The sequence below is a fragment of the Homo sapiens genome, chromosome 11 (genome assembly GCF_000001405.40).
Source record: "Homo sapiens chromosome 11, GRCh38.p14 Primary Assembly".
Taxonomy (NCBI): domain Eukaryota; kingdom Metazoa; phylum Chordata; class Mammalia; order Primates; family Hominidae; genus Homo; species Homo sapiens.
This window is the reverse complement of record NC_000011.10, coordinates 116,089,885-116,107,663: the sequence shown is the minus strand read 5'-3', so window position 1 is coordinate 116,107,663 and position 17,779 is coordinate 116,089,885. Positions and strand designations below refer to the sequence as shown.

Genomic DNA, 17,779 nt, shown 5'->3' with positions numbered 1-17,779 from the left:
CTGGCTAATTGTGGGTTACCCTGCCTAGCAGTCATAAGATAGTATTCATATTTTGGAGCTGAGCACTGCTAAATATGGAAGCAACTCCTGAATAATTAAGATACAACTGCGGAATCTGACCTAGGTGCCTTTGTTTTGTGTTGCAGATTTTTCTCTCTTGACTTCTCTGAGAGAAGATTGCAGTGTCTCCTGACACACCAGGGGGAATGCCGCAGAACAGAAGGAGTGAACTTCAGTACTGTAACCAGGCTGGTACTCTAACACCAGCTTTGCACCTTAGTGGCAGCATGAAGCACTTTGTTAGAGTCCCAAATTAGACTCTAGTTAGATGTCTTAGCCATCCCCCATCTCTCACATGGTGGCTGTCTTTATTGAGGGGCGAAGGGAAATTCTCCTAAGAAATATAAAGCCCTTCTGGGGTTACCTTCTAAAAAGCATCCAGAAGTGGGTGAGCCCACACTTGGGATTCTTTCTTCACCCAGTTGGCTCCTCCTCCTTCAAGAATTTTTGGGGACAGGATGAAAGAACTCAAGGCTCCGGGTTTACCCACCACAACTTTGCAACCTCACTTTTGCCATAATGGTCTCCTTATGCCTCCACTCTGAAATGACCAGGACTCTGTGTTTTTTTCTCCTCTCACTCCTCCTCTTTTCTCTTCAGTATAATCTCTTTTTATTAAGAACTTACTGTATGCTAGGAACTATGCTATATACCCATACTATATCTCATTTAATTCTTACATATCCCGGTGAAGGAGGCAGTCTTATGAATCCCATTTTATATATGAGAAAACCAAGGCATAGTTAAGCAAATTGTCCAGGGTCATCTAGTTAAAAACTGGCAGAGTCAAGATTCAGGCTCAGGTCTTTTTGATGCCCAAACATATATACTTTACCTTTAAAAGTGTGGCTCATGGATGCCTGGGGTTTCCTAGGTCCTTTACAGGGTTCTGTGAGATCAAAACCATTTTCATGATGCTATTTACCTTTTTCACTGTGTTGACATTTACACTGATGGCACACCATCAACAATGGGTAAAACTGTAAACTGCTTAGCCCAAATCAAGGCCGTGGCACCAAACTTTAATACTGAACATTATATTTTTTACTAGATTGCAATTTTTTATTCTAGAATTTTTTATTGTAGAATAAAAAAATCACTTTTACTCAAGAATGCCCTGATGTGGCAGTAAAAATATTAATTTTCTTAAATCTTGACCTTTGAGTACATGCCTATTTAATATTCTGTGTAATAAAATGGGAAGTATGCAAAAACAGTTTATGCTAAATATGTTCATCTTGAGGAAAAGCACATGTGCACTTGAGTTGCAAGCTGAACTAGCCACTTTCTTAATAAAACACCCGTTTACTTGAAATGATGAGTGATAGACAATTTATGACTAACCAGACTTGAGTATTTGGAAAATATTTTCTTACAGATAAACAAAGTGAGACTGTCACTTCAGGGAAAATGACTGACAGTGTTTGTTGCCATAGATAAGACTGAAGTTTTTAAGCATATTAGAATTTGTGAAAATTTGTATTCCTATTGTATCAGTCACGATCTAGTCAGGAGAGAAAAACCACCTCGCATATAAATAGGGAAGGTTTAACATAAAGAATGAACTATTTGCAAGAATAAAAGAGAATTCTAAAGAACACCGTAAGACTAAGGGAGAGTTCCAATAAAGGAAGAAACTTGAGTGGGGGCTGGGAGTCAGAATTCACTGGAGTTGGTATCATGGTAGCCCCCTGCATGACAGGAAGCTACTCTGGGCCACAGCCCATCCACAGTCACTAGGCCAGGCCTGGCAGACAGGAAACTGCTTGTGATGGTCAATGGAATTTGCTGGAAGCTGTCATGGAGGCTGGTGAACACGCTGGGAAGCCCAGCTGTGGCACACACAGGGTTCACCAAGAAGCCCCTCTCTGTGGTCCTAAGAGGCTGCCCCCAGGGAGGAGCTGCACTGATGGGTGAACTTTCCATAAAGCCACTCTCCATGGTGCCAAGGGAAGCTGGTAATGGGGGAGATGCCAGCTCCAATAAACATGACATCACTTAGTATCCCATGCACTGCTGGCTACCATGCACCAAGGAGAAAGCTGAGAAGATCACTGGAACCAGGAAGAAAAGCCCTTTCCTCCTCCAGTGTTCTTCCAGTGCTGTCTACTGACAAAAAGTTCCAATTGACCAGTAAGACACATTCCAGTATCACAAGCAGGAATGAAGGTAGCCTTGGAGCTGAGCAGCAATAATTTGATGACTGGCATAGTCCACCCTTTTATTTACACAACCTCTGCACACACTTGAACTTCTGTTTGACACTGAAACAACTGTCTTTCTGCGTAATGAGTTATAGCTATCCTTTGAACTAGTGAAATTCTCATCCTTTTCCTAAACAGATGTATAGTCTCAAGAGTTATTGTATCTGTTGCTGGGTATATTAACATCTCCTTAAATTTAGCCATGGTACTACTAAATAACACCTAAACAGAACATTATAAAGTTAATCTCCAACAATTGCTATGTAAAATGATGATGAGGGCTCATCCTCAGCAGCCTGGCACCTCTTCCTAGGTGGTTTCCCTTGGTATCCCAGAGGAAGGCTTCCCAGGGAGCTCTCCTGCATGGTGTAGCATTTCCCTGTGGGCAGCCTTACAGGAGGCACCTTCCTGGGGAGTTCCATAGGTTCCCTAGCTGGCTTACCAGTTAGCTCAACGACATTCCTGAAGAAGGCTTCCCTGTATGTTTCATTAGGTGCCTCGGCAGGGGTTTCCTGTTTTCCAGTTCCTGTTTCCCAGCCTCAGCTCATTGACTATGGTCCAGCTTGGGTCCAGGCAACCCAGAGAACTTCTCTGCCTTCCAGCAGGCTGTAATTGCACCTTCTCCAACAAGGGCTGAATCCTAGTGGCCCTTGCACTGGGAACTTCCAAATAGTTAAAAGACTTTTCTGACGCAATCTGAGGCGATATGGACAAATGTGGATTTCCAATATTGCATCATGAAATGTATCAACATTTGCAAGATCTGTATAACTCAGTGAACCAATATTTCCAGATGATCAATCCATGATGCAAAAATTCCATTTCAAGTGTAAGATAGATCAATGGATTTTAATGTAACATTATATGAAAAGGTTTCTCATTCCAAGCTGTAACCTTTAAGAAAGCACCATTTTTTGAGTTTTAATGTAATTTCCATAAATACCCACAATTATCAGAAAAGATTATTAAGCTATTCCTCCCCTTTCCAAATACATATCTGTGTGAGGCTGTATTTTTTTTTATGAACTTCAACAAAACAGCCTATCACAACAGGGTGCGTCCAGAAGCAGATACGTGAATCTAGCTGGTTTCTATTAAGGCTGCCATTAAAGAGATTTGTGAATATAAAACAAGGCCACTGTTCTCACTAATTTTGTTTTGGAAAATTAAAAAACTATTGTATATATTCACGTATGATAGATGTTATTTTTAAATGAATTAACAAATATTTTGTAATTTTCTCTGTCTCTCAGGCTGGAGTGCAGTGGTGTGATCTTGGCTCACTGCAACCTCCATCTCCAGGGTTCAAGTGATTCTCCTGCCTCAACCTCCGGAGTAGCTGGGATTACAGGTGTCTGCCACCACACCCGGCTAATTTTTGTATTTTTAGTAGAGACAGGGTTTCACCATGTTGCCCAGGCTGGTCTTGAACTCCTGGCCTCAAGTGATCTGCTCACCTTAGCCTCCTAAAGAGCTGGGATTACAGGGGTAAGCACCACACCCAGCTACTTTTCTCAGTTTTAATATCTAGTACAGTAAATATCAATAGACAAAACCTACACAAGCATGAGCTCTTGGGGCCTCAATATGAAGAAGTTATGAGACTAAGACTCCTGGGTGCTGCTGTTCTGGACTAGAGTAACTTTCCTTCCAAAAGTGAGGCCTGTGAGCTTGAATATGGATAACAGGGCTGCGGCACATCAGCCACAGGGGTACCTCTGCATATGGGGCTTGAAAATTCATAGGTATTTGCATCCAGATGCCTAGAGAAGCTTCAACTCCCATCTCATTTTTACAGCACTGCACTTGCTCCCTGGCCTTTTGCCTTCTTTGTTGTCACTACCTGCCTGAGCCTTTGCTGAACCTGAGCACTGGAGAGGGAGAAGTGCCTTTTGTTTTGAAGAAGCCCGGCCTGAGAGAGACATGTCGATGACTTTGTAAGAACAGGCTTTGGTTGGATTTGGGGAGCCATTCGAAGGACACCCTATGTGAGCACCGGGACAAGCTGCTGCTCTGGGGCACATTTCTCCCCCTCGCCACCCTGGGCTGCCCATCTGTTGAACAGAGCCTGCTGCTGCTTCTCTGTTCTCCCATCTCTCTTAAACTGTGTGGTTTTCACTTTCCCCCGGTGGAGTAGAGGATCTCTGTATCTTGTCCGATTTCTTCACGCTAGACTTTGGGGAGGAGGCACACGTGCAATGAATAAAGACTGGTCACCCAGAGCTTTCAGGGAGGTGCTCACTACCCTGAGATGCCAGGAGCTCCCGAGAAGAGTGGATAGATCTAAGAAAGAACTCTCTGAATTAGAAATAAAGTACAGCAGCAGGCTGGCTTGTGTTTGCTAGTTATAACCAGGGGCAGGAGTGGCCCTAGGGAGGGTGCGTTGTGACTTAGGTGCAACTGTTTGAAACATGTCTTGTAGAGCAATGTTGGAGATGCTCACAGTCTGGCTCTCAGGACTGGGAAGACATAATGGAATCACTGAAATCTCCCAAGATTGTGCAGGCCAGGTAGGTCAGGGTCTTTTCTACTCATCTCAGGCTCTTTAAGGGAGAGAGTTACCTGGGAAAGGAGGTATAGGGAAGTGCACCCAAGAATCTGCAAGAGGGTGTCCTACTCAAACAATAAGGAGGAAGCAGATTCCTGTGCCCATACATTACTCAAACAACAGATGCCCTTGAATGTCTTGTGGGAAATGTCACTAAGAGGAGCCCTACTACTCTGCACTTTCTGTCCCAGGTCCCAAGTTCCTTGTGAGCTCTGCCTCTGTCCCCCAGGGGAGGCTTCAGGCTGACCAGCTCAGCAGAGAGGTGAAAAGAAGAGGGAAGCCTCTTCCGTCACCTTTGAGATAAAAAGAAAAAAAAAATAAAAGACAGGGGGAGAAAGAGAGAGAAACAGAAAAAAATCAAAGACTAATCCTACAAATTCTCCTTTAATCTTAGAGCTTCCAGACCTAGTTTCTCTTTCATCTAGGACTTCGAAGTTATCTAGTTATTTTATGGGTAGTGAAACCACAAGACGAAGAGAGGGTGGTGGGGGGGAGATTAAATTAATGAGCAGGTAAGCAGGTTTATTATTTCGTCTGATCCTTCCTTCCTGCTAATTTCTCTGAGCCAATTTGGGAGGCAGAGCCTAACATGTTAACTCAGAGACAGAGTATTGTATCCATGTTCTTTCTGAAGCCATTTATCTGAAGGATATTAAAGATCCAATTTACATAGACATTATGGCATTGTGAGGAGGGTGTGTGCATGTGCACAAATGAGAGAGAGAAAGAGAGAGAGAGAGCGCTAGGGTATCCATCCAGTTGGGCCTGTGTTTGTGTACATGCTCAACCTCCAATGAGTGCCATCCCTCATGAGGCTCTCAAAGAAGTTTGCAATCACTCAGCAAGTTAGTTCAAGAAGTCATTGGGCCTTGACAGAAATCAGGCTCCAGGCAACGGCGGAAATGTTTATTAAATTTGTGCTTCAACCCTCAGGCTCCTGCATTTCCTTATCATTGCTCCTAGGTTCACAGTAGAGGAAATAGGGCCCTCTTGAGCTTGATATCTGCTTAATTAAATGCCTGATCGTATTGCCCCAGCCCATGCGTGTGCCTATGTAATGAGGCACAGGGTAGGATAGATGCAGAAAAGAGGTCAGATTACCAGGTTAACCCTCAGCTCCTAGGTTAACCCCATCCAGTAAACAGAGAGCCCTCGATTCCCCACAAGGAAACTGCGTGACCTGGGACATTCTACATAATCTGGCAGCCGGGACTGTCATTTTAGTCACTCATGAAACGTAGATTAAAAAACACCTATTCTTCCTATGATTCTGCTTTGTTAAAAGCATTGAATGAAGAGATATACATAATAGCATGCTACAGAGAATTTAGCAGGAATGAGGGGATATGAAGCAACTATAGTGGTTTGTTGTGAAGATTCTTTCAGGAATAGCCAATGTCCCTTTGCTTATGTTGGGCTAAACAGGGAGCCTTCTGATGGATAATCTGGCCTCCTAAGCAGACTTTCTCACCAGCCCATGCCAATGGCTAGTGCCAGCAGTCCTATTAGGGATGCTGCCATTGTGAATGAGTGTGCTGTCATTCACCTCCAATGCTTCCATTCATTCATTGTGTATTAGTCTGTTTTCACTCTGCTAGTAAAGACCTACCTGCCTGAGCCTTTGCTGAGCCTGAGCACTGGCGAGGGAGAAGCGCCTTTTGTTTTGAAGAAGCCTGGCCTGAGAGACAGATGTCGATGACTTCGTAAGAAGAGGCTTTGGTTGGATTTGGGGAGCCATTCGAAGGACACCCTGGATAGATCTGAGAATGAACTCTCTGAATTAGAAATAAAGTATAGCGGCAGGCTGGCTGAGTCTGGGTCATTTATTAAGGAAAGAGGTTTAATTGACTCACAGTTACATATGGCTGGGGAGGCTTCACAATCATGGTGGAAGACAAATGAGGAGAAAAATCATGTCTTACATGGCAGCAGGCAAGAGAGCATGTGCAGGGGAATTCCCATTTATAAAACCATCAGATCTCGTGAGACTTATTCACTACCATGAAAACCGTATGGGGGAGCTGCCCCATAATTCAATTATCTCCACCTGGCCCTGCCCTTGACATGTGGGGACTATTACAATTCAAGGTGAAATTTGGGTGGGGACTCAGCGAAACCATACCACATTAGTTCTTCCATTGTTCAGCTGCCATTCATTGATGATCTGGTACAATTGTTCATAGCCTTGACTTTACTTTAGATCACCTGTGAAGTTATAACTCTCATGCCTGGGCCTATTCCCAGACCAATTAATTCAGAGGCTCTGAGAGTGGCTCCTAGCCACTGGTATTTTAGTAAGGCACCCTAGGCTGTTCTAATGAGTAGACAGGGTTAAAATCATTGACCTGGTATATGCCATACATTGTGCTTGTCCCAGAAGATACACAGATGAATAAGATGCTCTTAGCTCAATGCAAACCATCCCCCTAGTACTGATCACCCCTGGGAACATGGGGTGATTATATTAATATTTCTCCAACTGAAAAGTTGAGACCTAAACTTTCTGATGACCCCTCTAGATGATCTTCTCCACCTGCCTTTACTCATGAGCCCAGCTTGCTGGCCTGACCCCTGCTCTTCAGAATGATAGGCAGTGCCTGAGTCCCAGGTATCACTAAGATCACCTTGGCTTCCCAGTGTGGCCTCTCTCCTGGTCCGGGCATCTCTCAGGTCACTGCCTGCAGCACTGTTGGTGAAGCTGGTTTGGTGATGATTGGTCTGTTTTCCACCCAGGTTCTGGGCCAGATCCTCATGGAATCCGTGAGAAGACAATATTCTCAACAGCTATCTGTCTCATATTTCTTTCCTTCAGTTGCTTCCAGAAGAGTGGCTCTTTTCTTCCCTCTTGAAGCCTGGACTCTCGCTGGACCTGCAGTGAAGTTTATGGTTTGTTTCTGAAACAACTAAGCTCATTTGAAAAGGTGAAATGATGGCTATTCTTCTGTAGATGGATCCAGGTCAAGTGATGAGCTGTACCCTCTTCAGGATTTTATTATTTGATCAGGTGACACCTCCTTCAGGCAGTAATCTTTCAAAGGAGGCCATTTTCCCACACGATGCCTTTGTCCTGAAGTTTTCCAAGCCGCGGTTATGTTTGCTTCCCCAGCAGTCCTGCCCTGAGCAGCTTGCACCCTGCGTTTTTAGTTCTGTGCTTGTCACAAGTCAGGGAAGTGGTAGTAGCTTAGGTCAAGGAACAGGCTTATGGCTGAGATTAAAGTCAGGCTTCCCAATCAATTGTTTCTTCCGTGACTCCCTCTTCAGAGCTGGCTGCTACAATCGGATGAGATTGTGATGTTTTATCATTCAAGTCTGTTAAGGATCTGTTTCTTTCTGCAATCAAAACTTTGTTCCTCTCTTCTCAGGGACTTAAAATACTGTCCTTGAACCGAGACGGGGCCCTTGCGCATTAAACACACTCGCAACTTCAAAGCTACGCATGTGTTGCCACAGAGGGTCCCAGGGGAACGTCAATAAGAGACGTGTGTTTGCTGTAGTACAAAGAGAAGCCTCGCTTCTTGATGGAGTTGATCTGAGGGGTGGGGGTGCCAGAGGGGTTTGTTGTTTGTCTCCAAATGAAGAGAGGATTAGGGGAAGAGAGGCCTAAACTTCAGAAGGAGCTGCTGGCTACCACAGCCTCCTTCACAAGGAGGCTCATGGTCTCCTACTGGGGTAGGGGGGAGGATGGTGCCAAGACCCCTGAGGCGCTACCATGCCAGCTGTTTCTGTCCTTTGAGTAATTCTAAAAACACTGCCATTTGTATAGCATTTTTCCATGTGCTACCTCACCTGAAGCTCACACTAGCTCTGTGAGTAGGCAATGCTATTTTTTCAGTTGTCAAATGAAGAAATGGAGGCTTGAGAGGTCAAATTGCATGCCTGTGTTTGCCCAGCTAATATTAGACCTATGTTCTTTCTTCTTTCAAAAAGGTGGCAAGTTGATTTCAATACCTGATTGATTGATAGCTGTTGCCTAGAAAGAAGGCTGTGTAGAAAAGGATTTTGAGGTTGCACCTGGGCTCAGTGGGAAAGAAGGCTGCGGTTGATTGGTAAGGTCAACTTCCATTTTATCATTCAAACTGGGCCAGTTTTGAGAGTGAAAGGAACTGGATTAATCATATTGCCTGAATATCAAGTACAATCTTGAACTGTCCTGGACAAACTAGGATGTTTGACACCTCATTAAGTAATCATGTGTGGTCAAGGTATTGGGCTGGGGTGGTGGGCAGAGACCACAGTGAACATGTCAGCTCTGTCTTATTTCTGTGACTTCTATGAGGACTTCTCTTCTCATCCCATTCTCAGGGGGACTGGTTCCAGCCTTTTATTTCCTGAAAAAGTTGAGGGGAGGGGCCACAGAGCAGAGGTCATTTGATACGACCACAATCCAGACCATAACATGTCTTTCCCACTTGTGCTTGCAAATCCCCACTTCCCTCATCTCCTGTGTGCATAAGGTGAATAGCTCATTTCATCAGCATTACTACAATCATCTTTAACCACTCCCTCCCCACCAGCTTGAAGGTGGTTCAAAACCCCCTTTTGTGCTTATTTGACAACCATTTATTCACTGGTGGAATTCACTGCCAGACCCACATCGATTCTTGCTCTGACTAGTTCAACAGCCTCCTCGCTCCTAACTGCCTCCTCTCTTGCCTTCTCCATTTCATTATGGTATTTCCAAAAATCTTAATCTAACTGTACTAATTCCTAAAAATTGTCTTTGATTTTTCACATCTAAAACCATTAGGCTCACATTTCCAGCCTTCCAGGATCACTTTCCATTATTTCCCCACACAGACCATATTCTGACTTTCCCAGATTCTGATTCCCCATTTTCTGAATGCATACATGAAACAATTTTCAAGCCTCTATACCAGTGTACTGTTCCTGCTGTAGTCTCTTCTCTCACCTCTTTTTCTGACTCATTAATGTCTATCTACTTAACCCTTAAAAGCCCACAACTCCTATTAAACCCTCCTCTTTCCCCAACCCCAAGCAGGACTAATTTCTGCATTTGCATAGCATGTTTTCACTTACGGTATAGATACTGGCTTGCAGCTTTATTTCTCCTACTCAAAGGAGTTGTATGTTGTTTATTTCTAACATGGTGCCTGGCACAGTAGCCACCTAAATACTTTTTGAGAATTGAAGAGATGAATGATGCTAGACCCCCGTACAGAACTTCTTTCTTCTAAAATGTTGAGGCCATCATGGAATTGCTCTTATGGCTTGGCTTCTAGGGACTGCTCTCACTAAAGGGACCAAGGAAGATGAGGAGGATGGTGCAATGAGTGGAGTAGACCAGCTTTGCCTGCTGTCCTCTGTGGATTCAAGGTAGAGGCCAGAGGGCAACAGCAGGGGCAATGTGGTTGGGGAATGGTGGAGAAGGGGTGTGCACGGCACACCTAACTTGCCAAGAATGCTCTGCTCTCTGCAGAGAAGTAGAAATTAGGGACCAGAGAGAGGAGAATGAGCTGGAAAAACAGGCTTCTTTCTTTACCTTCATGTACCTTGTACTTTACCTCAAGCTTTCTCTTCTGCCCAAAAGCTGTGAGTGACCTTCTTTGCCTGACCCTAGTAGCATTCACTCCTGCCTCTCCCCTTCTTCTGTGGCACTGGCCTTGCCATCTGGATGGCTTGCTCTCCCTGACCTTCCCTTCTCAGCTCCTTCCTGGAACACCAAGCTTAGTAATGTACCTCCCTTGTTTCCACCAGCAATTTCCCCCACAGTAATGTTGCAGAGGAGTGGGGTGGGGATGGGATTGGGGGAGGAGGGTCACCTGGACCTCAGCCTGAAATAGCAAGTTCAAGGGCTCACAGCCCCTGTGAGCTGCCCCAGCCGCATTCTGAAACCCACTTAATCCCAGCTTCTTGCTGGGTGGAGGGGCTCTGCTGCAGCTTTGCCTGGCCTCACCATTGACCCCTTGCTACGAAACTGTTTATCTGCCTTTCTCCTCTTTGCCTCGGCACATTTTGGCAGCCCAATTAGTGCCTTGCAGATAGTTTCTTGAGTCTGAGCAATCCTCCTACCCAACCTTTCCCCTACCGACTTCCCTTTCCTGCCCTTGTAGGGAGATGTTTGACAAGCTCTTTTCCATTTCATCTTCAAGCAGGCTGACACACTCAGAAGCTCTGCTGCTGGCTTCCAAATGAAAAGCGGGTTAACGAAGGCATATTTTCCAGCTTGTTTTTAAAAGGGAAAACAAAAGAGAGAGAACAGGTATCCTAGTTAATGGTGCCTAATTGCTTCTTTTCCAAAAAGTCTTCAGCGTAAAACAGCCTAATTGAGAACTTTCTAATCTTGTGCTGAAGAGGAAGCAGGGTGGCGCCTTGCACCTCGTAACTCCCACTCATCCTTCAGACCCCGCTGGCTGCCAGCTCCTCACAGGAGCCTTCCCTCCCCCTTAGACGAAGTCAGGTGATTATACTGGACACTGTGCTGTGCAGCCTAGAACATTCTGAAGGACAGAAGTGTTTATTTTGCCAGCTGCTGCAAGGGTTGTCGGTAGACAGCCCTCACCTGTCAGCCCTCTTCAGGAGTTGTCCTCATTGAAGGGCCATCTTGTCCGAGGTCATCCCTCTTTCCTGGGGCAGGTTGCATCCAGTGATTGGCCTATGCAAAGACATGAAAGCCTGGACCACTCATTTCAGCTTGGCACAACTTTGAAATGCCATTCTGACTTGTGGTGGCATCAGCTGAGGCTGTTAATGAGACTACATCTCAGCCCAACTTCTCCCTCTGCCCATTCTAGCTTTCTTCCTTCACACTAATCTCCAACTCAGGGTCTGCTCCCTGAGGACCCTGACCTGTAGCAGTAATCCTCCTTGGCATTGTCGTATATTCTTCCTAATCCTCCTCATCAGTGTGCAGTCATATGTTAGGTGCCCAAAAAGGTATTTTAGGAGGTGCGTAATGCAATGAGGCCATTTATGTCTTTCAATTTAGCGGAGATAGATGGATTTGATGTTTGCAGACTTCTCATGCCCTATTAATTCCTACAAAATGTGATCTACCTATCTATGCACCTATCTATTGTCATCTATCTACCTATCATCTGTCTGTCTACCCATACATCCATCTATCCATCAATCCATCCCTTCCTCCCTCCATCCATCATACACCTATCTGTAGTAGAAGCTGTAGGTGCTCCACCAAAACTCCCTTTACTGGCTGATGACCCCATGTCCCAGCTGCTGTAACTGTTGGTGCATAACAATTCACAGGTGCACCCTTTTCTGGAGTGCCATCCTTGGCCAAATGTAAGCTGCTTCCCCATGGAGACTGTGCTCTCACCTCTCCTTCCCCAGTGGCAGACCTCAGCTGATGACTGACTGGCATGGGGTAAAAGGACAGTTCTCTTGCTTCAAGGTGAGACAAGCTCTGAGGAATTCACACTGCAGCGCTACCTGCCCATGAGATCAGATTGAAGCTAGTTGTCAGCCAAGGGCACATTCCTCATTAGCTTTTCTTTTAGTGCTGTTTTGCTTCTAATATGGTTTGGCTGTGTCCCCACCCAAATCTCACCTTGAACTGTAGCTCCCATAATTCCCACGTGTTGTGGAAGGGACCCTGTGGGAGATAACTGAATCATCGGGGTGGTTTTCCCCCATACTGTTCTCGTAGTAGTGAATAAGTCTCACGAGATCTGATGGTTTTATAAGGGGAAACTCCTTTCACTTGGCTCTCATTCTCTCCTTGCCTGCTGCTGTGTGAGACGTGGTTTTGCTTCTCCTCACCTTCTGCCAAGATTGTGAGACCTCCCCAGCCATGCGAACTGTGAGTCCATTAAACCTCTTTTTCTTTATAAATTACCCAGTATCAGGTATGTCTTTATTAGCAACGTGAGAACAGACTCATACAATTTCCCTCAATCCCCTTCTTCTGAATTTACCACCCTAATAAAAAGCTTTAACAAGGGTCCTCGTATCAGGCTCTGTTTTTTGAGGAGCCTGACCTGAGACATCTGGTATTGAGCATGGTCCTAAAAAACAAACAAACAAACAAACAAAAAAAGAAAAAGAAAAAGAAAAAAAGAATGACACAAAGTATGGGTTTCTAGAACTGGGTTGCAATGAAGCAGGCGAAGTGCTGATAGTCCCTGGCAGGCTGTAGCAGTGGGATTGCTAACATCTTTACCTAGGTGAACTGGAAAGGGGCTGTACCAGCTGGCCCAGTGTCTTGGGAATTGGGAAGATGTCTGCTAGGGCTGCCATAATATCACAGACTAGGTGGCTTAAACAACAGAAATGTGTTTTCCCATAGTTCTGGAGGATGGAAGTTTGAAAACAAGGTATCGGCAGGTTTGGTTTCTCCTGAGGCTTTCTCCTTGACTTGCAGACGGTCATCTTCTCACCGTGTCTCCAGATGACCTTTCCTCTGTGCATACATCCCTGGTGTCTCTCCCTCTTCTTGTAAGCACACCAGTCATATTGGATTAGCGCCCAACCCTTATGACTTCATTTAAACTTAGGGCCTTTAGAGAGGTGATTATCTCTAAATACAGTCACATTGGAGGTCAGGGTTTCAACATATGGATTAGGGTAGTAGGGTACAATTCAGTCCATAATAGGAGCTTAGGGAGACGTCACTATACAGACTGTGGAACTGGGTGGGTTTTGCTAAACACCACTGATTTGTTGAAGAGAGAAAATGGCAGGCTCAAATCTACTAATTAACAATTTAAAGCAAAGTGCTAGGCGTTTAAAAAAACCTTCCATTCCTACAGCCAGGGACAGGCAGAGCTAGAAACCAGGCTCAGTGTGTAACTGTAGAAGTGTCAGAACTTCAAAGAAGACTGAATTCTCAGCCTAGGTGAGTCACTTATGCTGACAGTGGGGCTGTGACAGTGGGACACTGACACTTGGGATGGGAATATCTGGATAGCTGTGCTTGAGAACTAAATCTTCAGAGTCCCCTGGACCTCTTGGGCCTGCATAAATGGCCCACTGCCCCTGTTAAAATAGAAGCTCCTGCTTGCTTGAAAATGATGCAGAGACCTTACATGAGGCCTTCTAACAGGCCAGTACTTGCTACCCTCTGGATTTGCCCCCATCTCCCCTTCTGGCCACCAGATCACAAATTGGGGTCAAATCTCAGCATAGCCAGACTGGGAAAGGGCTGGGCCTGCTGAGGGATTAGAGGATTCTCTCCAAAGCTGCAGGAACTGGCTACAATACAGTGGGGCCAGGAACAAGGGGTGGATCCAAAGGGCCTAGATTGGGGAGGGGCCAGAATATAAAGCTGGATAGGGAGAGTTTTCAGTGCAGGGTACTCTCCCATGACACAGGATAGAACATCCTGGTGAGGGCCCCAGGTTATGCTTCTAATGCACTGCTGAGATGGTGCTTGGAAGCTTGGAGAAAACAGTGGCCCACATTAAACAAAACAGAGTTGCCGGAACTGCCATGGCCAACTGGGCAGAAAGAGACCAAAAGGCTCAGAGAAGTGGGCATGCTAGAGTGGGCCTGTTATCTAATACGAGGAAATCCACCCTCAAACGGTTTCTCAGGAAGGCCTGGAGATCACTCGGTTTACTAGGGTGATTAGGAATGTGTGAGTGAGGGACACCAGCGTCAGCAGAGAGGTTTGGGTAGGACTGAAGAGATCGTATTTCAGAACTGGGCTCCCTAGTAGAAATGGTAAAAATCCCAGCACAGCAGAGGCCAGGTGGTAGCACCTAAGTGTCAGAAGCGTGGTGGATGTAATTACTGTAAGGGCAGCAAGGTTGCAACAGTGGCTAGAAGAGCCCAGACTACAGAGATTTCTGGAAATAGTATGTAAATCATGGTGTTCCTAGAGGTAAAATAGATGGGCAGCTAGCAAAGTTATTTGTGTGTGTGTGTGTGTGTGTGTGTGTGTGTGTGTGTGTAAATTCATAAGAGATCAATAATGAATGAACGTAAGACCACCTTCAACCTTTCTAAAGAAAGTCAAGATGTCTTGCTGGTTTCCAGAGCTGAGCCAGTTCTCAAACCCAGAGCTCATTGGCCATTGACTAAAGGGGAGGCCAAATTTCCACAAAGAGAGACCCTGCAGTGCCACAGTAAGTGGGCACAGTAGTGATTCCCCCAGTTCTATAGGTCCCCAAAGGACCTATAGTTGTTTACTGGCATAACCAGGCACTGGAAAGAGGAAATACCCAGAGCCTTTTGAGGTCTGTTGGAAACAAGTTCTGAGTTGATGCTGATACTGGGGGACACAAGCACAATGATGACACTCCTGTTAGAGAGGCCAGAGAGGGCCTGGTGATAGATGGAGTTCTGGCCCTGGCATGTCTCAAAATGGTCCACCTGGTGGTCATTTCTCTGGTTCCTGAAATATAATTGGATTGGACATGTTTAGCAAGAGATACAACTTTCCATTAGTTCTTTGACCTATAGAATAAGAACTATTGAATAGGAAAGGCCAGTAGAATATCCTGAAAGTTTCCTCTCTTTACCAGGATAGTAAATCAAAAACAATATCACATTCCAGGGAGGATGGCAAAGATTAGTGCCACCCTAACTGGTTTAAAAGATACTGAGGAGGTGGTTCCTGTCATTGTATGGGACAGGCTGTTCCTATCCCATATAATTCACCAGTCTGGCCCCTGCAAAACCCAGATAGATTATGGCAGATGACAGTGGATGATTGCAAAGTTGACCGAATAGTAGTCCCAATTGTAGCTGTCATGCCAGTCATATATTTACTAGAGCAGGTTAACATGGCCTTGGGTAAATGGTATGTAGCTATTGATCTGGTGAATGTGTTCTTTTTTTTTAATCCATCAGCAAGAAAGATCAAATACAGTTAGTATTCATATGGAAAAGATAACAATATAAATTCATCATCTTGTCTCAGGGAGAATGATAATTCTCTGTTCATAACATAGTCCCAAGTATCCCGGACTCTCTGGACACCATGCAAAATATCAGAATGGTCCACTTTATTGATGCTATCATGTTAATTGGACCAATGAGAAGAAGCGATAAATACACTGGATGCCATTGTAAGATAGATACATGCTATCTAGAGGGTTGGTGATAAACCCCAGGGACTTAGGGTACTGCCATATCATTGAAGTTTTTAAGGAGCTAATAGCCTAGGGATAGCCCCTCCCCAGGACAAGTTATTACTCCGTGTACCTCCTATCATTAAGAAATAAGCATAACAGTTATTTGGCTTCTTTGTGTTTTGGAGGCAGCATATTCCAGTCTTAGAAATTCTGCCTCAATCCCTTTATCAGGTGACACTGGAAGGCTCCTTACATGGACAGCGCAAGCTAGGTCAACCCGCTAGGCAAGACCCTTAGACCAGCAGAAGCGCTAGCTAAATGTGAGGGGAATCTAGAGTGGGTGGAAGTAGAAGATCATGAACAGCAGTCATGGCCTTGGGCACATGCAGCAGGGCTGTGGTTCAATCTATTAACCTTCCTTTTGCACCAACCTAATATGTCTCCAAGGAAATTGTGATCTTTCAGAATTCTGAGGTTGCTGTATCTGGGTGGAGTGAACTTAGTGAAAGAAGAAAGTGGATTGGAGCTGTGCAAAGGGTGAACTGCAGTAGACACTATTGGTGCCCAACCCAGATGCTCTTTAGCCCCTGCAGATATTGGCCAGCTGGCTTGGGCGACCACAGTCCCTGGGAGTTTATCTCAGACAATGATTGACTGTCACATGTGGGTCAAAGGTCCCCAAGGTGGGGCTAACTCTGGGGTAGGGGGATTTAGAGCTCTTGGTTAGAGCTTGCCCATGGCATCAGAAGCAAGTCTAAAGCTACTTTTAGCTGAGACACATTTTCACTTAGCTCCCCATCTCTCCTGCCTTCTCCTTCCCCCTCACTCCTAAGAGTACATCCTCCAATCAATCTTCCTCAATAAATCACTTGGGCAAGAATCCCTACTCAGGATTCACTTCTAGACAATATACACATGTGTGTGTGTATTTGTTATTTTTTAAACATAATACCTCTTTCTTCAACGCCACCATCCAGTGTACACCTCACAAACCCAGTTGTCACATTTGCACTCCCTGAATTGTGTTCATTGATTACGCGACCCACAGATATCTAAGCCCAATTTACTGTATGGTTTCTCATACTTCAGTTAACTAATTCCAATCTACATTTTTTGAAGGATGGAAAATTTTGCACTAGGAAGATTTTACTAGTTCAAACTGAGTCAGTGGAGTCGCATCACATAAATGAACTTCAACTTCCTGAATTTCATCATAGAAAGTCAGACAGAGAAAGAGGGAGAGAGCCTTTTATTTACCTATTGTCCTCTCTTCCACAGCTCAAAATCAAAGAGAAATAAAAGGAATTAATTTTTTGGCTTTTGAGCTTCTGAGAACCCAGCTCTTGTAGATTTTCAAGGAGAATTTTGGCAATACCTATTTTTACCTTGCATGTTTGATTTTAAAGCAGGCTTTCCTGCTTAAGATAAAACTCAACTGTGATAAGCTATTGAATTATTCTATAACCTAGACTCTTCATTTCAGAGTAGGCTTCCCCACTTTGGTCTGGATTAGTGAAGTTTGACTACAAGTGGACAGCAAATGAATTGCAAATTATATGTAAATGTGTATAAATTAGCACCAGTTATTAGAATAATTTGCATTTACAGCTCTGTAATTAGGCAGCAGCTTGGGAGAGAAGGGCAGTGGGCAGGGGACCCAGGAAGCTGGGAAGGCATCCCAGAAGTCCTGGGGTCCCCACCTCTATGTTAATGAGGCTCAGTTTTCCCTTCCTTAGGCCCCTTAGCACAAGACTTTGAGGATCTAAAACCTGTACCCTGGCTTTTGGATTTCTGGTTCTTGCTAAGATTCTTCATGGCTGCTGCTCAGGGGCTTTGGCCTCTCTGGCTCAGTGTAGCATAGTGACAGGTCATGGGATTTTGAGCATAGAGGTCTTAGATCTATTGCTTTCAGGGTAACTTTGGCCAAATTACTCTCTGATCCTTAGTTTGCTCATCTAAAAATGGGGTTTATA

At 44.8% G+C, this 17,779-nt stretch overlaps 1 annotated feature.

The window, feature by feature from the left end:
* Window positions 2,501-3,700: an enhancer, noted in NCBI's record as "MED14-independent group 3 enhancer chr11:115974681-115975880 (GRCh37/hg19 assembly coordinates)". NCBI's record gives its function as "activates an origin of replication core promoter dependent on BRD2, BRD4, P300/CBP and CDK7 cofactors, and independent of MED14, by STARR-seq in HCT116 cells {active_cell/tissue: HCT116}" and the evidence as "EXISTENCE:reporter gene assay evidence [ECO:0000049][PMID:35650434]".